General features: G+C 39.1%; 1 long non-coding RNA gene across 1 annotated transcript in view, besides 1 other annotated feature; it reads right to left on the bottom strand.

Moving 5' to 3' along the window:
• LOC105372760 (uncharacterized) overlaps nucleotides 1-24758 on the bottom strand; it is a 55507-nt gene extending 30749 nt beyond the window's left edge. Inside the window, exon 1 of the long non-coding RNA XR_937632.3 lies at nucleotides 24436-24758. This is a non-coding gene — a long non-coding RNA (uncharacterized LOC105372760). The remainder of the gene's footprint in view (nucleotides 1-24435) is intronic.
• Nucleotides 26744-27311: an enhancer, noted in NCBI's record as "NANOG hESC enhancer chr21:28224660-28225227 (GRCh37/hg19 assembly coordinates)". NCBI's record gives its function as "activates a minimal SCP1, AML or CMV promoter by ChIP-STARR-seq in naive H9 embryonic stem cells {active_cell/tissue: H9 hESC(naive)}" and the evidence as "EXISTENCE:reporter gene assay evidence [ECO:0000049][PMID:30033119]".

The raw sequence follows: 27311 nt of genomic DNA, 5'->3' as shown, positions 1-27311 counted from the left end.
ATACAAAAAAAAAATTAGCTGGGTGTGGTGGCACATGCCTGTAATCCCAGCTACTCGGGAGGCTGAGACAGGAGATTCGCTTTAACCTGGGAGGCAAAAGTTGCTGTGAGCCAAGATCTCACCATTGTACTCCAGCCTGGGTGACAGGGCAAGACTCCGTCTCAAAAAAAAAAAAAAAAAAAAAAAGATTATTTACTGTCTGCCACATGGTATGATGAAACACAAATTTGTTTTAAAGGTTGTATCCTCTGAAAGTATACTGTGCCCACTTTAGTGTGTGTACATTGACAATAATTTAAAGCCAATCAATGTTGTGCGATTGCTCTCCATATAGTGGAAGCCAGTTCTGTTTGGGAATCAACATAAATGTCCACAAACAGGAAAAACTGTACTTCTCAGAGTCATTATTAGCTTTAAACATCAGCTATTAATTGAAAAATAAACGCATATGTAAAGCGTGCAAATCTTATTGCCTTCTCTATTTTGTTAGTATATCGAGAAACCATCACTTCCAATAATGGGGAAAACATGCAGCATCCATAATAAAGTACTATTTGTTTGTTGTCCACAAAATGCAGCAAATTAGTTAATTTGTTGTTTATACCTAAATAGAATCCTCCAGAATCACTTAAATACCCACATGGATTTGTCTTCATAGCATATTTAAGAAGTACAATATATTTGGTTTTTCTTCTTTCACAAACTGGGAAATGCAGCCTCAGAAATGAGTTGAGGCTTTCCCCCAAGTTCATTGGTCTGACTTCCACATTAGACTTCACACTAAAATTGTGTACTACTTTTGTCTTGTACATATTTATATTTTAAACTCCTGAAGAATGTCAATAGTTATCTGTACTGCTCATTTGGCTCCTAACAGAAAATGTATGCAATAGAAGGTCTATTTGGTACTTAAGGACTTTTATACCAAATATATAACTGAATTCATCCAAAAGAAATATTGTTCATAAAAGATAGAATTATATTTTCTACAAGCAATTATATATTCTATACTGCACAAACAAAAGACATTTAAGTTATATAACTTCTAATTACAAAATGACAATTAATGTCACCCAATTTCCAGGAAATACAGTTTCAAAGCATTAGTTCAAAACAAAAATGTGTGTTATTACCTTATATAAGTTTACGTGATAGAAAAATTCTAAATAAAGGCCACCATTAATTTTAATCTATAATTTTAAATAATTGGCCTAGAAACTACATTTTTAGATTCTTATGCAAGTTATTCTCTTAAGTAAAAAATGTCAAAAGATTTAAGAAACACATTAATTAAATGAAATAAAATGTTTACTTAAAAATAACATACAGTATTTTTAAATAAACTTTTTATTTTGAATCGCTTTAGTTGCAAAGAACATAGAGGCTCCATGTACTCTTCAGTCTGATTTCCCTAATGTAACCCTCTTACACAACCATGGCTTAATTGTCAAAACTAAAAGATTAACATCAATACATTGATAAATTAAACTGCAGACTTTACTCTGGTTTCACCAGTTTTTCCTCTAATTCTTTTTCTGTTTCAGAAGTTAATACAGGATACCACATTGCATTTAGTTAGATCAATTTTTTCTGAAAACATGTTTACATTTATTTTGGATAAATAAGTATAATTAATATAATAAATATTACTTATTATTAAAATATGTGACGTAAGAATAAATCTAATACATTTATTTGCCAAGAGGTTGTATGAAACTTAGAGAAAACTTTGAATTGTATCAATGGTTTTGTAACTTCTAGTATAATTATTCTTTTCATCTTGCTCTCATGGTGCATTTGTTTACATTTAGTGTATTGTGTAAGCATTAAATTATATGAAAATATTGAAATAATAAATTCCACACATAATCGGAGAAAGTAAAATTTATATTTTCATATATTCATTATAGTATTATTTATACTGTTTATAGAAGTATTTCTATGACTAAAAACTATCTGGGTTAGATAAATGGACTATTTGCATAGATAGAGATGCTACTCTCAAATACCTAAAAACTAAAGACAGGGGACAGATAATTTTAACCACTCAAGGCTTGGGTATTTTTCTGAGGAATTGTGGAATAGAAATCTATCTTATTAAAGCCTTTTTGGAAATTGCATTTAGAGCCAATATATTTTGGATTTGCTCACTGATATCATAGAGTGCACAGCATGAAGGAATTAAGAGGCCATCCACTCATTATGTTTAGGAGTAGTCAATTCCACAGCATTACATCAAGGTTTGCCAGCCAAAACGTGAAGAAAACTCAGAGCAGACCAAAGAAATAATGCAAATAGGGTTAAATGATTAGAGAACACGAGCATTAAGATATAAAATCATTTACCCTAGCGAAAGAAAGCTAAAATCAATCTTCAATTTTAAGCTTGGCTACTATCCAGAGGATGCAATCACTAGATCTACTGAACCCCAAACAGATGGAAGCAATTGTAACAATACAAAGATATATGTGAGATAAAGGAAGTGAAAGTCTTTCTGACTGGGGAAGCCATTAAGCCGTTGAAAGTTCCACAGTGTTTTTGTTTTTAGCAAAGAAGAAAAATAGCATTCTGAATTGCATGTCGTCGATTTTCTTTAGATTATCACCATGTATGTTTGCATCCTTTAACAATATGTCTACTTTGGGGTATTTGTAGACGTCACACAAATAGAATGATACTGCAAGTATTCTGCAGTATACTTTTGCTTGCCAAAAATTATGTTTAACACAAGTAATTTATAGTTATAACTACTTTACTTTCTGGTACCACAAGATATTTCAAGCACGTCCTATATTTTCCTTGTCCAAGCAACCTCTTTACCAAGGAGCGTGGTTTCTTTCTTTGGAGAATGTTACTTGAAAATCAAAATCTGGGCTTCAAGTGTTCTTATTGCTACTGGGTTGTCATTGCTTTTAAACCCTTTCAGCAGACAGAGTGTGAAGAAATGTGTATGTATACTACCTCATACATATGTACATACACATTATATATTTATTTCTGTGCGCGCGCGCGCGCACGCGCGCACACACACACACACACACACACACACACACACACACCTTTATACAGATATTTCCAACTCCAGTCTAGCAGCACGGAGTTCATTCTAACCTTCCTCCTTTACTTATTTGAAACTTTTATTCTCAAACAATAAGAAAGAAACCTGGCTTTTATTTTCTACATATATCTACTTGTGTTTTCAACCATGGTGTCCACATAAATTAGTTTCAGAATAACTAACCCATATCTCTATAAGAAACAAAGCTACTAACTGCAATGCAGTATTTATGTGATGCTCTTTTTGAATTTAGCTTTAACTTACCCATTCTTTGTGGTATACAGTTTTATTGGTTTTGAAAAATGAATGGAGTCATGGGCCTACCACTATAGTTGTGATTTGAAAAGTTTCATCAGCCCCCAAATTCCTTTATGATGACATTTTGCTGTCAACATCTCCCCTCACCCCAACACCTAGCAACTAGACTTCTTTTTCATCCCGCACTGGTTAATTTTATGTGTGAACGTGACTGGGTTGAGGGATGCCCAGACATTTCCGTGATGAAACATTATTTCTGGGTGTGTTAGTGAGGGTGTTTGTAGAGGAGATTGTCATTTGAATCAGTGGACCCAGTAAAGAAGATCCACCCTTACCCATGTGGGCCGGCATCCATCCAATCAGCTGAGGGCTTAGATAGAACAAAAATGGAGAAGAAAAGCGAATTTTCTCTCTCTCTCTTTTAGAGGTGGAACATTCAGTTCTCACCAGTGGAACCCCCCTCCCTGTTCTCAACTCCCCTGGTTCTTGGGTCTTTGGATTCTGGCTGAATTACACCACTGGCTTTCTAGTCTCCAGCTCACAGATAGAATACTAAGGTAGTTTTCAGCCTCCAAACTCGCATGAGCCAGTTCCTGTAAGAAATCTCTTATATATCTCTATACGTATGTTATTGCTTCTGTTTCTTGGTAGAACCCTGACAAATACACATCCTATAATTTTGCTTTTTATATAATACTTTATGAATGGAATCAAGCAATATATGACATTTTGAATTTGGTTTCCTCTGCTTAGCAAAATGTATTTAAGATTCATCTATGTTGTTGTGTAAATTAATAGTTATTTCCTTTATTTGCTAAATAAGTTTCACTGTATCACTACACTACAGTTTCTTTATCCATTCACTGATGAAAGAACATTAGAATCATTTCCAGTTTTGGATAATTATGCATAAAGCTGCTGTAAATATTCATGGGGTGGGTTTCTATGTTAATATAGCTTTTCATTTATATTGTGTAAATACTGAGGTGTAGGATTACTAGGTCCTATGGTAAGTACATGTTTAATTTTATGAAACAGTTTAGAAATAGATTCATAGGCCAATATTTCTTTAAATTATGATAACTATGATGCAGTTTAATGGGGGAAAGAATGGTCCTCTCTATATGATGCTGTGGCCAATTAAAGAACACATGTTCTCACTCATAAGTGGGAGGTGAACAATGAGAACACATGGACACAGGGAGGGAAGCATCATACACCGGGGCCTGTTGTGGGGTGGGGGGCTAGGGGAGGGATAGCATTACGAGAAATACCTAATGTGGACGACAGGTTGATGGGTGCAGCAAACCACCATGGCACATGTATACCTATGTAACAAACCTGCACGTTCTGCACATGTACCCCAGTACTTAAAGCATAATAATAAAAAAAAGATGGCCATAAATTTGTTCACATTTTTTTCCATTGAGATGTGGTCAGTTTCCCTTCCCTTGAATCTGAGCTGTTTTGTAACTGTTTTCACCAACATAGCATGGTAGAATTGGTTATAATGCTATTTCTGGACCTTGTCATAAGTGGGCTGGTAGCTTCCACCTTGGTCTCTTGAAACCATGAGCTGCTATGTAAAAAGTTCAACTACTCTGGGTCACTGTTCTGTGAAAATCCCAAGCCACATTGAGAAGCCCTAGTGGATGAGACACCATGTGGAGATTAAGAAATAGAGAGGGGCCAAGAAGCCCGGGCACCAGACATAACAGGGAAGAAGCCATTGTGGAAGTAGATCCTTCAAAGCCAGGCATCCTAGCAGATAATATAGAGCAGAGATGAACCACCTTGCTGAGCCTTTCCATAATTCCTGACCCAAAGAATCATGGAAAAAAATAAAATGAGTGTTTTACCCATTTTATTTTATTTACTCACTTTATTTATTTTAAACTTCTAAGTTTTGGGATAGTTTTGTTTGTTTTTGCTTGGTTGGTTTTTGGCAGAAATTGATCACTAGAACAGTACTGAAACAATTATGTATCTATATAAAAATAAAATAAAATTTGATCTCTACTTCACTTCCCATGCCCAAATATTAATTTGAAATGGATTATTGCTCTACATGTAAGAAGTAAAATTATAAACATCTAAATAAAAAAGGGAAAGAATCTTTGTAACTTGGAATTAGGCAAAAATCCTAAAACAAAGTTCAGAAAATACTAAGCCTGAAAGGAAAAGTTGATAAATTATACTGCACTAGAACTTAAAACTTCTGTTTTTTTGGAAGATATCATGTAGCATTTCAAAAAGTTTGCATAGATTAGGACAAGACATTCACAATACACATATTTGCTTAAGGTTTTAGTATATGTTGATATAGTTTAGATATTTGTCCCCTCCCAAATCTCAAGTTGAACTGTAATCTCCAGTGTTGGAGGTGGGGCCTGATGGGAGGTGTTTGGGTCATAGGGGTGGAGATCCCTCATGAATGGCTTGGGCCATACCTTTGATAATGAGTGAGCTCTCACTCTGAGTTCACACAAGATCTGGTCATTTAAGAGCGTGTAGCACCTCCTCCCACTCTCCCTAATTTTTTCTCACTCCTGCTTTTGCCATGGGACATGCAAGCTCCTGCTTCACCTTCTGCCCTGAGTAAAAGCTTCCTGAGGTCTCCCCAGAAGCAAATGCCGGTGGCATACTTCCTGTAGAACTGTGAGCCCAATCGAGGCAGAGCTTGCAGTGAGCCGAGATTGCACCACTGCACTCCAGACTGGGCGACAGAGCGAGACTCCATCTCAAAAAAAAAAAAAATAAAAGGACTGTGAGCCCAATCAAGCCACTTTTCTTATAAATTACCCAGTCTCAGGTATTTCTTTATAGCAACTCAAGAATAGCCTAATACGTATACCCTTTCCAGTGTCTATTTTCAACCTATCTATATTTTATCCTTCTTAAAAAGTTATGTCCCATGTAGGAGTATACACAAGTGGTTCTTTATTATTATTATTGTTATTTTGATCTAACAATCTTTAATCTTTGTCTTCGGAATATTTAGTACAGTTGCCTTTGATGTATCTACTCATAGTGATTAGCTTTGTTTTCTATTTGTGCCATCTTTTTATTTCTTTTTCTTAACTTACTATTTTTAGGTATCTTTTCCTACAATTGCCAAGTTTTTCTCCTCAAATTATTAATGCATTTATTTGCATTTATTGATTTTTCTTTTTTCTTTTTAAATAAAGACTGAGTCTTGCTATCTTGCCCCAGGCTGGTCTCATACTTCTGGCCTCAAGCGATCTTCCCACCTTGGCCTCCCCAAATGCTGGGATCAAAGGCATGAGCCACTGCACCTGGCCTGATTTTATGTTGAATCTCTGTTGCACTTCTGAGTTAAACCACCTGGTCAAAAAGTATTTATATTCTTTATTGTACATGGCTCAGTTATGTTTGCTCTAATATTTGACTAAACATTTTTCCATCAATGCCACAAATGAAATGACCTGATATCTCTTCTCCTTCTTCATTCATTTTTTGGGGGACTTTTGCTAACAAACTTACGCTATTTTCATATAAAGAGCTAATTTTTTCTTTCTTTTTATACACTCTGGAATCATTATATAGACAATGAAGTTGTTGCTTGACCCCCTGACAAAAACTTCTGTCTAAGATAATATTCTTTCTTCCTGAAATATGGGCGGCAAGCCACCCAGATGCCGAGGCAAGAGACCGAAGGCACAAGCTGTTCCAGTATAATAAAGAAAATACATACAATAAGAATAGTTATACTAGAAATAGATTATAGATATGATTATATATGAATATTATTAATCATTAGTTAGTAGCATTACTCTTTATTCCAATTTTATAATAATCTTTGTTCTACAATTATAACCTAGGAAAAACCAGACCATACAGAGATAGGAGCTGAAGGGACACGGTGAGAAGTGACCAGAAGACAGGAGTGTGAGCCCTCTGTCTCGCCCGGACAGGGCCACTAGAGGACTTCCCACCAGTGTCTGGGAAGTCACCCGTAAGTATATTTAGCAGACCTTGGTCTAGTGGTAGCACCAGTGCCTGGGAAGGCACCTGTTACTTAGCAGATCGGGAAAGGGAGTCTCCCTTTCCCCAGGGGAGTCAGAGAAGGCTCTGCTCCACCACCTCTTGTGGAAGGCCTGACATCAGTCAGGCCCGCCCGCCCACAGCCATCCAGAGGCCTAAACGTTTCCCTGTGATGCTGTGCTTCAGCGGTCATGCTCCTGGTCCACTTTCATGCTCCGACATGTACACCTGGCTCCAACTTCTAGATAGCAGTAGCAGAATTAGTCAAAGTATTAAAGTCTTTGATCTCTCCAAGAAATACATAGAAGAAATAATGACATAAGCTGTCCCCTGTCTCTCTCTGCCTCGGCTACCAAATAGGGAAGTGTCCCCTGTCCAATGGACACGTGACTCGTGCGATCTCACCTCTCATTGGAGATGACTCACACTCCTTACCCTGCCTTCTTGCCTTGTATGCAATAAATAACAGCGCAGCCAGGCATTCGGAGCCACTACCGGTCTCCACGCCTTGGTGGTAGTGGTCCCCTGGTCCCAACTGTCTTTTCTTCTATCTCTTTGTCTTGTGTGTTTATTTCTATGATCTCTCCTCTCCGCACATGAAGAGAAAAACCCACAGGCCCTGTAGGGCTGGACCCTACACTGAAATACATATTTTAGGTTTTCCTTAGTCTATTGTGGACAAACTCTGTTAGGTTTTATCTGAAAATGTCATTATTTTGCCCTAATTCTTGTGATTTTTCTAGTATACAATTCTGCACTGACAGTTACTTTCTCTCAGGATATTAAATATATCATTCCACTTTCCTCAAGCTTTCACTGATGCTGTGGAGAAATCATTTCTCAGAATAATTATCATCTGACTGAACATAGCTGTCTATACTTCTGGCTGAGGTTGTAACCCTTTTCCCATTTGCCCTGAGAATACTCACTGATGTAGCATTTCAAAAAGTTTGCATAGATAAAAGCTGCAGTGCTTGCAGCTGCAGCATTTACCCTGAGATAAATTTGCCACAAAATATTTTGCTTTTATTATTGTTTTCGCATTGCTCTTGTATATCAACTTCAGAAACAGAAAACGTCATTCTATTTACAGCATTCTGTTTTTAGTAGTGGCATTTCCATTTGCAAAATATGGCAATTCTCCATTGCTAAATATATCAAATCCTAGAAAATCTAGCATTCCTACATGTGATGTTAACGTTGTTCTTGAACAGTTGCTGATCAAAGATTCATTTGATGAATCTGATTTTTCCGAAATAGATAATTCTCATGATTCAGACAATTCTGATGTTAGTTCTGGTTAGAAATAACTCTGAGAACAGCTTATATATTTTATTTTCATGTTGAAAATCAATCAGATTTGCTTCAGCCTCAAAGAGCATATTTATGTGAAATTGTTTTGGCAGTGAGCTGCACTTTTTTTTCTAAACCGGAAAAGGGTTAAGTCTTCGTTTTATCTTTGTTCACCTAAATTTTTACCGTTATGATAAATTTACTGTTTACATATTAATTCCTCGTTTTTAACCTGACTCTATCTTTCATTTTACTTAACATGTCTTCTCTATCTTTCATCCCATGGACTTTCTTACATTCTTTGAAATTTCTCCATATCTCTTTCCAGTTCACTAATTTGCTCTTCATCTTTGTCTAATCTGCTAATAAACCCATCATATTCGGATTTTGTATTCAGTCAATTTTTACAGACTCTCTCGTAACTTATTTTCAAATCATTGTTTTATATGTTGTGTCTGATAATTCCAACATTTAACATCTTTTTTCAGATTTGATTCTATGATTTGTTTTTTTTTCTGGTGGCTCTCACTCATCAAGGCTTGCTTATTTTGCTTTGCTTTGTTTCACTTTTGTTTTTACTGTGAGCTCATATTTCTATGGATATTATTTGAGCCTCAAGCTGTGGTAGTTTTCATGGGAGAGGGCTTTTGTCTGGACCTGCAAGGTCCCAGGAACACTAGTAACCAGGACCACATTACACTGAGCGTATGCTGAGAACTGAGACCACCCAGGAAGTATGAATTCTGTCTATAAAACTGAAATCAGATGGCTTATGGTTACAGAGTCTCAAAGAAAATTTTTCTTTTTCCTCTATACAGCATCAGAGTCTAAGATGGACTATTTTTCTTGTCCTCTCCTGAGAGTTAAATATATGGGATGTAGAGAAGTGATTGCCTGTGAATATCCATCTTGTATGGAGTTGATCCCGTGTTCCCCACTTATGGACAGTCCTTAAAAACAAACTTTCTCCCTACAGAAAATTTCCTCAAGGAGAATTTACATCTAAGTTTTGTTTTCCTCTGTTGATTCTTTGCCCTCTAAAAATTCCTTACTTTCTTGTGTGTTTACAAGATGCACTCATAAAGAGTTTGTTGTTATATTTTCTCTGTCTCTTTTAGCTCTTTTCCATAGGAGGAATCTTAAGGCAATCTAGTCCAAAATACCGCCTGAAATGGAAAGAAAAGTCTACTAATTTTTGAATCCTGTATTGTACATTTAAATAAAGACCTCCAGTTAGCCAAGTCTTGTATTAAAGTTTCTTACCTAAAACAATTATATGGCTTAACAATTGTTACTTAAAACTAAGAAACGCAAAGGACAACATTAAGAAATCTGCTTCCTAATAATTCCTTCACCGTAAAATTTACTTAAGGAAGTATGCTTTCCTCAGAATTCCATCATAGACAAACATTATTTCCATATTGATCTTAATAGTTTTCACTTCAATTAATTTGAAATAAATATTTGTTGGTTGAGTGCCTGAGAATTTTTTTTTTAGTTACAGGTGGTGATAAGATACAACTACTGTCCTTGAGAAGTTTACACTCCTGTGTGAAAACTGTATCAGTAACCAAACAATTACAGAAATTTTATACGTATAAAAGGTAATAAAATAACTATATATATAGCAATAAAAATAGAAGAAAGGAAGATGTTCCTACCTCAGCCTGTTTGTTTCTCAGGAGAAAACTGACACCATGTGGGATTTCGTCAACATGATGTCACCAGAAGAGCAGAGTACTAAAAATAATAAATGTTTTTCAGGTTCACAAGAGTGTAAAGGATGTTTCAAGATCGATCTAGGAAGGGAATATAGACTAGGTAAAAGTACAGAGATATAAAGCAGCATTGTGTGTGCAGAAAACAACAGAGTTAGGTACCATGAGAATTCACAGGGCAAGAAGGGCTTCTGAGAGTTGACCCTAGACAGGTTGTCCCAGGGCACAACAGGAGTTTGAATTTTATCTTCTAAATGACTAGGAAGCTTTGTTTGAAGCGCCAAAGGGGCAAACAAACTCATACAACAAAAATGTCATTTTTGAAATTTGTGGAAGATGGACTACATGAAACATGCCGTATGTTTCTTTATTCTTTATTGTATCCCTTTCTTTTGACTTAGCATTTTCTGTAGTATTTTCTATGTATTTCTATAAAATATAATTATCATTTTAATAGAAATACACCATTTTACCAGTATAACAAGAAAATTGGTTTGTTTGACATATATATACACACAATATATATATTATGCAGACATTCATTCACATATACATATCTGCATGTCTTTCATGCATTTTTACATAGTTTAAAAAGGCATATAAAACATAATGCTCTGTAAACATTTTAATAAGTTAAAAGTATATCATAAAAATTTACCAGGACTTTAAAGTTTCTTCTCAGGGCATTTTTATGCAACATAGCACTAAATCATATACCTGTATTCTAATGTATCTGAAATTGCTTATATTTTAACATTCTTTGATTCTTTGATATTATAAAAAGCTGGTGGGGTATGAAGTCTGACACCTGTGGTCCCAGCAACTCAGGAGGCTAAGGTAGAAGTATTGTTTGAGCCCAGAAGGTTGAGGCTGCAGTGAGCCATGTTCACACCACTGCACTCCAGTCTGGGTGACAGAGCAAGACCCTGTCACTCACACACACACACACACACACACGCACACACACACGCAAAAGCACATAGTGATGGTTAATTTTATCTATGAACTTGATTGGGTCACAGGGTGCCCAGATCTGGGCTCAAACATTATTCTGAGTGTTTCTGGGAGGATATTTTACATGAGATTAACATTTAAATCAATGGAGTGAGTAAAGCAGATTGAACTCCATTATGTGAGTGAGCCTTGTCCAATCAATCAGAGGCTTAAATAGAACAAAAGGTGGGCCCTCTCCCTAGTAAGAAAGAATTCTTCCTACCTGACTACCTTTGAACTAACACATTGGCTTTTCCCTGTCTTTGGAATCAAACAGAAATCTCACCTCTTCCTGGGTCTCTTCCCCTTTCCTCCGGGAGTGGAATGTTTTCTTTCACTTTGTTTTCCCTTCCTATGCTCAAGGAAGATAGTTTTGTTTTAGTTTACACCCACAGTTAGTGGATTCTTCCCCTTTAACTTTGGCTTCAAATAAGAGATAATTCTAGAAAGTAGGTAGAGCTTTGTACCTAGCATCACCAAGGGGAGGAAAACGTCCAGCTTGTGAGTGAGTGCAGAGCTTTCTCATGTTTGGACTCTCTGACATGCTGGCTAATACTTCGCTTTTTTTTTTTTCTTACTCACCTTTGCAGTAGGTAACTCTTCTTAGTGCCCTACTAATGGTGAAAAAAAAATTGTGAGTTCTCGCCTCGGAAGGGTTTGTTATACTTTGGAATTTAGTGTAGTTAGTTCCTTATGACTGCAGCTTTATGAACAGTTCAAGAAAAGTTATGATTTTGTTGATCATCCAGATTCTTCTAACAGTGTTCTCTGACAGTTTTATACATCCTAAGCAAAAGCTAAACTCCTTTGAATTAGTTCTTCCACATAAATTTTAAACTTGCTATTCTGAGTTCCCTCTAAAAAATATTCTGTTAATATTTTTATTGTGATCATGTTAAGTGTATAAGTTATGGAGAACTAATATTTTTATAATGTTGAGTTTTCCATGGACTCAGCCTTCCACAGTAAGGTATGACATCATTTGATCAAATCATTCTGCATCCCACACGAGTTGTTTATTTTAACTTTATTATTTTTCAGCAAATCTTTAATATATTTTTTCATGCTCCTTTTTAAGATTTTAATAATTTTTTATAGTTGTGAAGGGAGCTTTTCTTACATTATGTATTTAAACTACTTGCTTTTTATATATGTGAAAGTTATGACAATGCTATTATATTGTATACAGTTTTTACTTGATTTTCTTAGTTTTCAGTAAAATAGTGCTATGTTCTTAATGTTTGTGTCCCTTCCAAAATTTATATGTTAAAATCCTAACCCCTAATGTTACAGGCGGAGGGTTTTGACTACCAATTGTGCAGGTTCTGGGCATTCTGAACAAAAAATTGGACAAAATATGCAGACAAAGTAATGAAAGAATAAAGCAATGAAAGCAGAGATTTACTGAAAAGAAAGTACACTCCACAGAGTGGGAGCAGACTCAAGCAAGCGGCTCCAGAGTGCTGGTCACAGAATTTTCTGGGATTTTAATACCCTCTAGAGGTTTCCCATTGGTTACGTGGTGAGTGGCCCCCGACCAGTCTGATTGGTTATGGAAGGCAACCAATCAGAGGCTGAAGTGAAGTTACAAAGTTATATCCCTATGCAAATTTAGACTAGGCCCACCACCAGACTGACTGGTTACAGGAGGGGACCTATCAGAGGTACTTTCCACTTTTTATCTGCAAAGCACAAAAGGGGAGGGCTGCCAAAGGAGTAGCCGTTGATCCTTTTGTTATTTGGGCATGGAAAGTTGGGGTTTCCTTTAGATTTAATTCTAGGAAGTCAGCATAAATTGGTCTCAGGTTTCCTGCCTCCAGACTCTATTCTCCTGCCTCACCAAGATGATGGCATTAGGAGGAGCCACCTTTGTAAAGTGATTAGGTCATTGAGGGAAGAGCCCTAATTAGTGGGATTAGTACTCTTATAAAAGAGGCCCAAGAGAGACCCCCAGCCCCTTCAAACAGGTGAGGACACAGCTAGAAGACAGTTATCTATGAACTGAAAATCAATCTTCCCCAGACACTGAACCTGCCAGCATCTTGAATCTGCTTGTCCATTATGGTTGTAAGCTCTGCTGTCACTGTCATTCTTCCAAGACTCAGGCTTATAGAGCAGCCAGTGATTTTGACATAAGCATTGTCATTACAGAGGAAAAGAAAGGGAGCGTGGCAAAGCACTCAGTGGCTTCAGAGTTTCCAACTGGAAGTCATACTCTGCTTTCATTTTATTGGCCAATTTAAGTCACTTGGCTCACAGTTTACTAAAGCAAGTCACACAGACACACCTAACTTCAAGTGGGTAGGGAAGTACAATACTAACATGTGCTTGGAAAGAGAACCAGAAATATTTGGTAGACAGTTTATAATGACTACATAAACTGCTTCTTAGCTATGGGACCTTAGGCAGGTCAATTAACATTTCTAAGCTTCCAACGATTAATAGAAAATATTACAGAGGGCGCTTTTGAAGAAATAAACTAATACATGGGAAGTATTTAATGTAGTGCCTGAAAACCCCAGTAGTGAGTAAATGTGAGTTATTATACCACCACCACTATCATCATCATTATTGTGAGTTATAGCTAAATCAATTTTACTCAAGTATTGTTAAAAATATTTTATATATGTTTGCCTTGGATTGTCTAATTTTTTTGAATGATTTATGTCTTTGACTCATTTATTAATCAGAAAAATTCATTTTTCATTGTGATTATTTTCTTAATTATTTTAGATTTCTTGGGGAACCATTGAGCCTATATATTAACACTTACATTAATATCTACCAGAGAATGAATGAGGAAAAAAGACCTTTTGGGTTTAATACATATTGCATTCAAATGGCACTTTTCTACTCCTCAAATGATTCACATTAAAAATGATATATTATTCAAAGTGCCAATTGAGATAATAATTCAAGACTGTAAGACTATCACAATTTGTAAAAATATAAGTAAAGGCATATATTGATTGCTCTAATGTATGAATGTTTGTGTGTATACATATAAATATAGCTATATAATGTAGTCTACAAAAAATAAGTATAGGACAAAAACTAAATTATTTTTCATTTGTAATTTTTACTTCTCAATATATGCATTTCCCTCTTCTCTAAGAAAAGGAAGTGGAAACAAGTTTTTTCTTAGGAAGATAAGATTCTGCTCATCAACCATTTCACTATTATGTACCATCCTTAACAAAAATAATTAGAAAAGTAGGGAAAAAATACAAGAAGTCAAAAAGCCTTTTCCTATTACTTACACACAATCATTTTAAAGAGAATAAGTAGGCTGGGTGTAGTGGCTCACGCCTGTAATCCCAGCACTTTGGGAGGCTGAGGTGGGTGGATCACGAGGTCAGGAGATCAAGACCATCCTGGCTAACACGGTGAAACCCCATGTCTACTAAAAATACAAAAAAATAGCCAGGCTTGGTGGTGGGCGCCTGTAGTCCCAGCTACTTGGGAGGCTGAGGTAGGAGAATGGCGTGAACCTGGGAGGCAGAGCTTGCAGTAAGCCAAGATCACACCACTGCACTCCAGCCTGGGCGACAGAGCGAGACTCCGTCTCAAAAAAAAAAAAAAAAGAGAATAAAGAGAATAAGTAAACCATATGTAAAGGAGAAAATATTAATGCAAAATATTTAAAATATTTTAATATTAAATTGAAGACTCCAAGTTTAAAGTTTTTCGTTACAATGAAAAAATGCCCCAGATTCATTCTTTAAACTAAGTAGTGAATGACACTTTAGGGTTTGAGTTTTATAAGCTCTCATAATTTTTCCTTTTTTCAAAGAACAAAGAGGCATTGATAAAATTCTCAAATGATGCTAAAGAAAAGTTTTACAGATAAGCAGGAAGAGTTAAACAATAGCTACTCATTATGCTTTTAAAATTAGATTTTAGCATAATTTAGATTTAGATTTTAAAATTAGGTTTAGCATAATTTTCTTTGTTATTTCCTGAAACTGCTAAACTATATTTCTTAGTAATAAACTCTTTTCATATGTGAATATCTGTGTGTGGTCATATAGATTTTATATTGCTTCAAAACAGAAGAACGATTAATAAGGACAATTTAGAATGCAGAAACTAAGCTACACAGACTAAAATGTGCTAATGTAAATGAGTAGAACCTCAACTGAAAAATCTTTTCTAGAACACGTGACCTTTCCAAAAGAAGTGAAGTGTTCCATATACTTAACTTTTTACAGAAGAAACAGAAACGGAAATATTATTCACATACAAGATACATCTATCAAGTCTCAAAATAATATAATGAAGAAAATCAGATCAATAACTCTCCCTTTGTAAAACGTCTCTGCTCCCTCCTCCCCGCACCCTTGAACAGAGTTAATGGTCCCAACCCCTCTATTCTGTCTGTTTTCCCTGTAGATCACTAACTACACTAAAACAGAAGTATTCTAGCAATTCTTGATAAGACTGTGAAGTCTTTGGGTGCAAAGTATATACCATTAGTGTCCAGTACAGCACCTGACACAAAGTAGGAATTTAATAAACATTAAAAAATCTGTGTTAAGCACAGTATATAGAAAAATAAATAAATAAAAATATAAAAAGAGAGGAAGGAAAGAAGCGAGGAGGGAAAAAAAGAGAGAAAATAAAATTGACGAAGTCACAGAAAAATGATACAATCTTTTAAAAGTCATTTGAATTGATAAGAAAACTTCTTTTCCTCCAGTTTCTTAACATGGAAATTATGCACCCAGGTGCAGTGGTTCACGCCTGTAATCCCAGCACTTTGGGAGGCCAAGGCAGGCGGGTCATGAGGTCAAGAGATCGAGACCATCCAGGCTAACATGGTGAAACCCTGTCTCTATCAAAAAGAAAAAAAAAATTAGCTGAGTATGGTGGCCCGCACCTGTAGTCCCAGCTACTTAGGAGGCTGAGGCAGGAGAATCGCTTGAACCCCGGAAGACGGAGGTTGTGATGAGCCAAGATCCCACCACTGCACTCCAGCCTGGTGACAGAGTGAGACTCCATCAAAAAAAAAAAAAAAAAAACCATGAAATGTATGCATACACTGAAGTACTTGAAGCTGTCAACAACCATTTGCAATATTCTTATAAAATAATAAGATTTGTGTACTTGTTTTAACTAGAGTGTACAAAATATAAAGTGGGGAAGAAGAGCATAATAAAATTATAAAAAATAGTAAAGAAATGGCTAAAAAGGCATAGCATTTTAAGAGAAGTTCTTCTCATTATGCACTCTTTTCTATATGCAAATAAAGTGAACAGACAGACATCTGTGATTTGACATATAGTTGATGGGAAAAATCTAATTTCTTTTGTTTTAGTGGTATTAAAAACTTCAAATCTGGTTTTAATGGTACTAAAACCTCTAAAACCTTCAAGTCTGTGTTTAAACCTCAGGCAAGTATTGGCACCTAGGCTTAACACAGGGAAGAGGTGACTGACAGACTCAATTTTCCCTCAAAAGGCATGTCCTACAGACACTCAGAAATGGCATTTGGGTATAAGCTTAATTCATTAAAGTTATTTTCTATTCTCTTAAAAACTTATAGGCTTTTTTCCTTTATGCTTTTGATTTTTTCTATGTGCTGTCTCAAATTTTCTTTTTTTTAATTCTTAATTTTGCAAAAATAGACCCAAAAAGGGATTTACTTGAGCCTTCTTATTGCAGTATTTCTCATACCACGTGAGTTCTTGCTCTTCCCTTATCGCACAGGAGTTGTTCAGAACAGAGCTGTTGTGTTTAATGGGTGTCTGAAAATCTCTTGTAATGTTCTTTTGGTTCACCTGCTTCTGTTTATTTGGTCTCTAATTTCTAATGTAAAGTATATATAGCTTGTGCAGTTGCCTTGAATTTGGATGTGCACCAGCTGCTTAAATTTGGGTTAGTGTCACATTCTTCTTCCAGGTAGAAATGTTTATAGGGTTTTTGTAAAGATGTAAAAGATTGTCATATATTTATCTTTTCCTTGTTGAAACATTCTCTTAAAAATACAGGGATAAATTTTGGCCAAGCTAAATAAATGTGAATAGATAGGTCAGTGTCTGCATATAGTAAGTGCTTGATAAATATCAGGAATCATGAGAATGATGTTGATGAGTTCCAAAAAATCATCATATTTATCTACTCAAGAGTCCATTTTGTTTCCTTAAGTGAAAAGTCATATGACTGACGTCTTTATATTTCTTGCCTCAGTGATACAATATGGAAATTTGAAATCTATTTCTTCTTTTGGCGATAAATACTTATACACACACAGTCATGCATCAATTAACAATGGGGATACATTCTGAGAAAAGCATTGGTAAGTGATTTTGTCATCGTATTGTTACTGGGGGGTCCTTGCTCATAGAGCTTCCAAGATGGCGGCAGCCTCGTGTTCTCTGACCTGGGGTTCTTGGCCTCACGGATTCCAAGGAATGGAATCTTGGGCCATGCGGTGAGTGTTATAGCTCTATTAGAAGCCATGGGTCATGGAAGAGAACCATGGAACCCAGTGACTAGTGTTCAGCTTGATTAGGACGAACCCAGGCACTTAGCTGTGCAGGAACAATGGCAAGCCTTTAGCCTGATCGGGAGTGGCAATGGGTGCCTCGCTGGATCAGGAGCACAGTGGACACCCTGCCAGATCTGGAGGGATGGAAGTCAGCGACGGGTCTGCAACGGCGGCAAACAGCAGTGGTGGATGGTGAGCAAAAGCTCAGCTTGAGCCGTAACAAACACGGACCAGAAGAGTGCAGTTGCAAGATTGAATAGAGTGAAAACAGAGCTCCCATACAAAGAGAGGGGACCCAAAGGGGGTTGCCGTTGCAGGCTGGAATGCCTGGGTTTATATCCTGGTCATTGTCCCTCCCGCTGTGCTCTCAGGCAATGGATGATTGGCTATTTCTTTACCTCCTGTTTTTGCCTAATTAGCATTTTAGTGACCTCTCTTTACTATCCAATTGGTAGGGTGTGAGCTAAGTTGCAAGCCCTGTGTTTAAAGGTGGAAGTGGTCACCTTCCCAGCTAGGCTTAGGGATTCTCAGTCAGCCTAGGAAATCCAGCTAGTCCTGTCTCTCAGTGCCCCCTCCCAACAGGAAAATACAAATGCTGTTGGGGAGGTTGGCCGAGGACCACTGTAACTGCTTCCTGCTGAATTGGAGCATAGTAGGGGTTGTGCAGTTGAGATTTCCTTGGGAGGGGTGCCTTCAATGTCATTAACATTGGAGCATGGGCTAGCAGGCTGGTCCAGGGGTCCTCAGTAGATCTTAGTCATGGACTGCATCTGGGGGTCCATTTGAAGAACGATTTGTAGTTTTACATCTTCGATTCTGGAAGAGACAAACTTAACACGGAGGTTAAAGATACAGGGTCCAAAGAGGAGTAGAAATATAGCTGCTAGAGGTCCTAAGAAGGGGAGAATCCAGGGCATCCATTGGCTGAGGAGGCCCCAGGGTCCAGTGTTTTTTAAGCTCCTCTGTTCTACGTTGTATTCGATCTTGAATTTCTTTAACTTTCTTGGTGATGATTCCGAATTGATTAACATAATAACAGCATTCTTCCCCTAAAAATAAAAACGTTCCCCCTCTCTCAGTGATTAGCAATTCTAAAGCTCTTCGATTTTGAAGGACTACTGCATACACCGCCTTTTGAAGTCCTTTTTCTGCAAAGGAACTTCCATCAGTATACAAGTTGAGATCGGGATCAGTCAAGGGAACTTCTAAAAGGTCCCCTCGAGCAGTGTAGGTTTGAGCAATTATTTGTTGACAGTTATGTTCTATCTTTTCTTCATTGTCTGGAAGCAATGTGGCTGGGTTAAGAGTTGCACAAGTGCACAGTCGCAACACTGGCCCTTCAAGTAATAGAGCCTGATATTTAAGTAAACAGTTGTCTGACAGTCACAAGTCTCCTTTAGCAGTGAGTATGCCATTCACATCATGAGATGTCCACACAGTAAGATCTCTTCCTTGTATCATTTTAACTGCTTCAGTTACTAAGACTGTGACTGCTGCCACTACCCATAAACAATGAGGCCAACCCTTTGCCACTAATTTCCTTACTCAGGTATGCCATGGGTTGCAGGCTCGTCCCTTGGATCTGCGTAAGGACTCCTGGAGCTATTCCTGTTTTTTCTGTGACATATAAAGAAAAGTCTTGCCCCATTGGCAAGCTTAACACTGGGGCTTGGGTCAGGGCCTTCTTTAGGGCCTGGAAATCTGCTTCTGCTTCAGGTGTCCATCTTACCAAATGGGTATTGGCTTTCTGAGTTTCCTTAATTAGTGTATATAATGGTCTGGCTATTTCGCTGTACCTGGGAATCCATATTCGGCAGAAACCCGTTATGCCAAGGAACACTCTTAGTTGCTTTAGGGTTTTGGGATGAGGATAAGCCAGTATAGGCCGGATACTTTCCTCACTGAGGGCCCTGGTGCCTTTGGATAATTTTAGCCCTAAGCATTTAAATTGCTGTGAGCAGAGCTGAGCCTTTGGTTTGGAAACCTGTAGCCACAGGTGGCGAGGAAATTAAAGAGTGCTTGGGTGGCTTGATGGCACAAGGTTTCTGAACAGGTGGCTAAAAGTAAATCATCCACGTACCAAAGGACAAGAGTGTCCAGGTATAAGAACTGGCTCAAGTCTTGGGCTAATGGGGGCTATCCCTGAACCCTTGGGGTAAAACATTCCAGGTGAGTTGAGACGTTGAGTTTGAAGGATCTTCAAAGGCAAACAAGAATTGAGAGTCAGGATATACAGGGATGCAGAAAAAGGTGTCCTTAAGGCCCCGGACTGTAAACCCCTCTGCTTCCTGTGGTATTTGGGAAAGCAGAGTATAAGGGTTAGGTACAGCTGGCTATACAGGAACAACAGCCTCAATGATAATCCTGAGATCTTGCACTAACCTCCACTGTCTGTTGGGTTTCTGTACTCCTAAAATTGGAGTATTGCAGGGGCTATTGCATGGTTTTACTAGGCCATGGGCTTTTAGGTCCTTAACAATCTTTTGGAGTCCTTGTTGGGCCTCAGGTCTAAGGGGGTACTGCCTTTGGTAGGGAAAGGAGGCGGAATCCTTTAGTTTAACTTGAACAGCACAGGCATTCTTTGCTCGTCCGTATTGTCCTTCTGTTGCCCAGACTTCGGGATTAATTCCTTCCTCAAGCAGGGGACAACAAACAGGTGTTCCTTCTCCTATGTTCAGGTGTATAATGGCCCCTGCTTTTGCTAGAATGTCTCGCCCTAACAAGGGAGTGGTGCTTTCAGGGATAATTAGAAAAGCATGTGAAAAGAGTAAAGTTCACCAGTCACAACTTAGTGACTGGGATAAGTATCTAGTGACTGACTGTCCTAGGAACCCTCGGATAGTGACAGATCTGGAGGACAGTTGTCCGGGAAAGGAGAGTAAGACTGAGAAGGCCGTGCTAGTGTCCAGGAGACAGTTAACCTCCTGGCCCTCAATGGTCAAGCATACCTGGGGCTCTGTGAGGGTGACGGCATGGGCTAGTGCTTGCCCTGGGCACCCTCAGTCCTGCTGCTGGATCATCTGGTTAGTGGCTTCTGACTCAGAGGACATTTGTCCCCTGGGATAGTGGGCCTTCCAGTGATTCCCTTGATATAAGGGGCATGGACGAAGGGGCGACTTATTTCTACTTGGACAATCTTTTTCAAAGTGTCCTTGTAGACCACTCTGGAAGCAAGCCCTAGTAGGCATTCGATTTGCCCAGCTTTTCCCTTTTCCAGAGCCTCCAAAGTCCACTTGCCTGAGGGCCATAACTAAAGCGGTGGCCTTTTTTTTACCCCGTTTGTCCTGTTCCGCCTGCTCCTCCTGATCTCTATTATAAAAAACCGAGGTTGCCAAGTTCAATGGGGTTTCTAAGTTTTGCTCTGGGCCTAAGGCAGACTTTTGAAGTTTTTTCCTAATGTCTTCAGCTGACTGAGTGATAAACTTATCCTTTAAGATTAGTTGGCCTTCAATAGAGTCAGGTGACAGGGAAGTATGCTTCCTCAATGCCTCCCTTAGTCGCTCCAGAAAGGCAGTAGGATTTTCTTCCTTTCCCTGTGTTATAGTGGACATCATTGAATAATTCGTAGGCTTCTTCCTAGTTTTCCTTAGTCCTTCTAGCATGTAAGTTAGCAAATGTCTGCAGCACCAATGTCCATGTTCTGATTCTGTGTCCCAGTGAGGGTCTACACTGGGAACTGCCTGCTGGTCTGTGGGGAATCATTCTCTTTCCTCTGTTGTCCTCCTATCATTGACCCGAGTGAGATACCAGAGATCGCCAAACTCTCAGGCTGCAGTTATGGCGGCACTTGTCTCATTTGGGGTTAGTGTCTGATCTAGCAGTAACATTATATCTCTCCATGTCAGATCAAAGGATTATCCTAACCCTTATAAAACATCAATATAGCCATCAGGGTTATCTGAGAATTTACCTAGGTCTATTTTAATTTGCTTTAAGTCTGAGAGAGAAAAAGGCACATGCACACTGGCTGGGCCAAATTCTCCTCCTCCCACTGCTTAGAGGGGGCATAATCAGGGAACATTGGCACGCTTTGGTTCATTGTTTACCCCTTTGTCTATCTCCTTTTGGACCGTTTGGGTTGAAGGGGGTTCCTTATTAGTTGGAGAAGGAGTCAGGGGGATGCTGGGGTAGGGAGGTAGACTCTGAGGGCTTCCTGTAGGGCATAAATCACACTTCTTACATAATTGCAAGTTGTCTCTTAATGAAAAGAAAGTTTGCACATATGGCACTTCACTCCATTTGCCCTCCTTTCTACAGAAGAGGTCTAGCTGTAAGATGGTGTTATAATTTATACTTCCCTCAGGAGGCCAGGTTTCTCCCCCTTGAAGAGGATATCGTGGCCAGGTGGTACTGCAGAAGAACATAAGTCATCTCTTTCTTAGCGTCTGGGGGTCAAATTGGTCCCAATTCTCCAGAATACATCTTAGGGGTGTTTTTGCCTTGGGGAGGGTGGAGAACATTTCCCGTCTGAGAAAAGAACATAGGGATGCCAGCACCCCTAGTCATTTTCCAATGAGCATTAGTCCTAGAGCATCCTTTAAGGGCCTAATGCTTATTCTTTTCAGGGTGCGTAATCACCCATGGACCTCTGCTTATCGGATTAGTTACGCTCACCGAGGTAACAGTCCTGCACCCCTTTTCCCGCCTTTCTTGACCATAAAGAAAGGGGCCTGGGCTGCTGGATTCTAGTGGTCCTTTACCAATGTGCCCAACATTGCCTTTGCGCTCAGAGTTGAATTCCTTTCCAGGGTGTGTAACCACCCAAGGCCCTCTGCTTATCAGATTAGTTATGCTCACTGATGTAGCAGTCCTGCACCTGTTTTCCTGCCTTTCTTGACCACAAAGAAAGGAGTCCAGGCTGCTGGATTCTAGTGGTCCTTTACCAGCGTGCCCAACATTGCCTTTGTGCTCAGGGATGTGTCCTAGAGCTGGGCTGGTTTCCTGAGTATTTCATAACCACCCAGCTGCCCCATCAAGATGCATTCCCAAAAAAGCAGTTCTTATGTAAATTCATTTCAGAGAGGGTGTAAGTAAACTTTTGAGTCAGGATTGAGATAGTTTTTACGATTCTGTAAGTACTTTAAGGCTTGGCTGAGTGCAAACAGCTCACACTTTTGAGGACACCATTTATTAGGCAATTTTTCTAACTCTGCTTCCACAAGAGTCTCCCTATCAATTACTGAATACCCACTGTGGTTTTTTCCTCAATCACCTGGGAGGAACCCTCTATAGTCCTGTCCTGAAGGGAGTTCCTCCTAGGTGTGGTCAGACCTTTGTATGGTAATTAAGATTTAAATCCCCTGTTAGGAAACCTGCTGGGTTAAGAGAATTATCAGTGGTTGGTGTTAAATTACCTTTTTTTTTTTTTAAACACAATAGCCCCATACTTTAAGATTTTTGAGTTAGTAAGCTACCTTTTTGCTTTTTTGACTTAGAATAATTCTGAACTGGTAAGGTGTGCTCACAATGAGGTTTCCTCTAAAAGTTACTTTTCTACTTTCTTCTGTTAGCAAAACAGTTGCTGCTACAGATTGAATGCATCTGCCGGTTACTGGGTTAAGGATTTTTTGATAGGAAAGCTGCAGGTTGTCAGTGGTCTCAGTGTTTTCAGGCTACGCCCTTGTTTACACTGACAACAAGGTAGTATTGGAGTATTATAGGGTCATGGAGAAGACCTTCAATTATCAATTATAGGTTTTAAATTTACCCCGGCTTTTAAAGGAATAGGGCACGCTGTTTTTTGTTTGTTTTACCATTTCTGTCTTTCTCTTTCTTTTTCTCTTTGACTCCCTTTGTCTTTCTCTCCTCCATCTCTCTCTCTCTCCCCTCCGTCTCTCTCTCTCTCCCCTCCGTCTCTCTCTCTCTCTCTCTCTCCCCTCCGTCTCTCTCTCTCTCTCTCCCCTCCATCTCTCTCTCTCTCTCTCCCCTCCGTCTCTCTCTCTTTCTCTCTCTCTCCTCTTAGCCATTACAAACTTGGGGCCTTGACAAGGGTGATGGGGAACGGGTCCCACATAACTGCCCATGTCGAGAGCTGTATGCCTAAATCGGGAGGGACACCAGGGACAAGACTTCCTGGGTTTATAGCCTAGATGCCTAAGGACGCAGCGTAGAGCTTCCTTAGATCCCTTTGGAGATACAACTTGCTAGAGGAAATGAAACTGAACCATTAGTACCTAGGAGCCAGGGATCAGGGGAAGTAGATTCAGAGGTAAGCAGAATTTTGGGGCTACACTTTCAAGAAAGTCATCGTCGGGACCCAGGAGGTATGGGTCAGGAGGAAAGGTAGGAGCGCACGCATGGGCGACTGTTGAGTAGAGACTTCTGGCTGCGCCATGATCTCAACCGGCTACTGCCAGGAGTTCCGGACGACAGCTTTCTGCCTCTAGTCGACCCTTGGCTTCCCCAAGAAAATTGAAAGTGGAAGGGGCAGACCAACGTCCCCAACCCAGAAGGGTTGGGGGTTGTTAGAAAGCCCTTCCCCAGATAGCCTCACACCTGAGTCTTAAGTCGGGCAGCCACGCTAATTGTTTTTAACTGGCCGACAGGTGCCCAGTATTTTCCTCCAATTCTAAAGAAGGATAGGACAGAATAGCAAGCGAAAGTGATCCAATATTACTCACCGCTTTGGAGGTCCCTTCGTGGTCGCCAAAATGTTACCGGGGGGTGGGGGTCTCCGCTCACAGAGCTCCTAAGATGGTGGCGAGCCACTTCCAAGATGGTGGCAAGCCTCCTGTTCTCTGACCTGGGGTTCTTGGCCTCACAGATTCCAAGGAATGGAATCTTGGGCCATGCACAGAGTTTTATAGCTCTGTTAGAAGCTGCGGGTCATGAAGAGAACCGTGGAACCCAGCTTGATGAGGATGAACCCAGGCACTTAGCGTGCAGGAACAATTGCAAGCCTTTAGCCCAATCGGGAGCGGCAATGGGCGCCTCGCTGGATCAAGAGCACAGCGGACACCCTGCCAGATCTAGAGGGATGGAAGTCAGCACGGCAGGTCTGCGATGGCGGCAAACAGCAGTGGTGGAAGGCGAGCGAAAGCTCAGCTCAAGCTGTAACAAACACGGACCAGAAGAGTGCAGTTGCAAGATTGAATAGAGTGAAAACAGAGCTCCCATACAAAGGGAGGGGACCCAAAGAGGGTAGCCATTCCGGCTTGAATGCCTGGGTTTCTATCCCGATCATTGTCCCTCCCGCTTTGCTCTCAGGCAATAGATGATTGGCTATTTCTTTACCTCCTGTTTTTGCCTAATTAGCATTTTAGTGTGCTCTCTTTACTATCTGATTGGTCGGGTGTGAGCTAAGTTGCAAGCCCCGTGTTTAAAGGTGGAAGCGGTCACCTTCCCAGCTAGGCTTAGGGATTCTTAGTCGGCCTAGGAAATCCAGCTAGTCCTGTCTCTCAGTATGAACACCATAGAGTGTATTTACACAAATCTAGATGGTAAAGCCTACTCCATACTTTGGCTGTATGATATACCCTATTGCTTCTAGGCTACAAACCTGTACAATGTGTTACTGTACCGAATGCTGTACACAAATGTACACAATGGTATTTGTATATCTAAACATAGAAAAGGTACAGTAAAAAGGCAGTGCTATATTTTTATAAGACCACTGTCATATATGCAGTCCAACACTTACTGAAACATTGTTTTGTGGCACATGACTGTGTATGATTTTTAAAGTTACAGAATCTGCAAAATGTGTCACTAAATCCTCACTAAACCCTGTTGTATACCATCATATTTCTCAGTTTATTTATGGGCAAAATTACCTAAAACAGAATAGCCTTATTTAGAATTTTAATTCATTGTTTCCAGACACTGGTGACAATAATGCCATTATCTACAGTGGGTTTCTGGAAATAGAAACAAGTGTGTCTTATATTCCAATATGAACAATGTTCTAATTGAGGCAAAGTTTAATTGAGGAATAATTTCCTCACCATGGTTGATGATATAATAAATCACTTATGAAACAAAGATATGCCATTAAAACAAAGGTACATCAATCTGTACATCTATCATCACTCAAAGTACCGAATTGACACTGAGACTTATGGAATATTCAAGTTGGAGCTGTTCAATCCATTCTAGATTTAGAAACTGAGACCCAGAGAGTTGGTAACTGAGGCCATTGAGCTAATGGCTGCAACCTGGAATTGGATACTTTGATTCTCAACCTAGTCCTCTTTCTTCTCTACACCACATCACCCTTACAATGTTTTAAATACAGGTGTATATACAGTACATTGTGTTAAAGTTTAAAAGAACAGATTACCTGACTCCATCAATTATTATCTGTGTGAGCTAGCCAAACTTCTGCCTCAGTAACTTCATCAATGATATAGGGATATTAATAGCAATAAATCTACATGTGAGCATTAATTAGCTTATGTATATAAAGTAGGCATGGTATATAGTAGGCACTCAACAAATATCAGGCATTATTATTATTGTCACAGCAAAACTGTAGAAAAATATACATTCAATTATAAAGTCATTGGCAATTAGTTCCCTTCCCCTGCCAGCTGGCTCTCTTGAGTGGACTGGAGTTCTTAAGTTAGGAGCGACATAAAGGGTAGAATCAGTCTGGCAGGAAACAGCAGGCAGCCGCTGCTCTGGAAGCCAGGACATGGGACCTGAAGTGTGAGATCTCCACCTACTACACACACAATGAGCATTCCTCAAACCAAATCTCTCTAGATCAGACAGACAATTGAAAGATTCCTGGAATCATTGTTGCTATCCTGGAAATCTCAGCCAGATACCTGACTAGAATCAATATCAGATTGATATTAAACCTGAATGGACAACCACCACCAAGCTTCATAGTGAAGTTGGGCCTGGTTTTGGTTTGGCTATCACCCCTCCAGATTCCCAGAATTTTTACTATGGAGAGAGAGAGAGGTCTTCCAATATGCTATATGTTATATTTACAACATATATTGCTTTCAATATTAGATACATACACTATTGCTTCCATTTTATAAATTTGGAAAATATTTATGAAATATAATTCAGATGGTGTGATGGTTAATTTTATGTGTCAACTTAACCAGGCCAAGGGGTGCCTAGATTAAACACTATTTCTGGGTGTGTCTGTAAGCATGTCGCCAGATGCGATTAACATTTGAATCAGTGGACTCCAGTAGAGTAGACTGCTCTCCCCAATGTGGGTGGGCATGATCCAATCCACTGAAGCTCTGAATGGAACAAAAGGGACAGAGGAAGGAGGAATTTCAGAATTTCCCCTCCTTTGTCTTCCTGCCTGCTTGAGCTGGGACATCAGTCTTCTTCTGTCCTTGGACTGGGATTTATATCATCGACTCCCCTGGCTCTCAGACCTGCAGACTTGAACTAAAATCAAACCACTGACTTTCCTGAGTCTCCAGCATGGTGACAGGAGGTCTTGGGACTTCTCAGCCTTATAATCGTCTGAGCCAATTCCTCATAATCTCATTAAATACATATGTTCTATCTCTCTGAAGAATCTTGA

This window comes from Homo sapiens, chromosome 21 (assembly GCF_000001405.40).
Source record: "Homo sapiens chromosome 21, GRCh38.p14 Primary Assembly".
In the NCBI taxonomy this organism is placed as follows: Eukaryota; Metazoa; Chordata; class Mammalia; order Primates; family Hominidae; genus Homo; species Homo sapiens.
The sequence above is the reverse complement of the archived record's forward strand: the minus strand, read 5'-3'. Positions and strand labels throughout refer to the sequence as shown.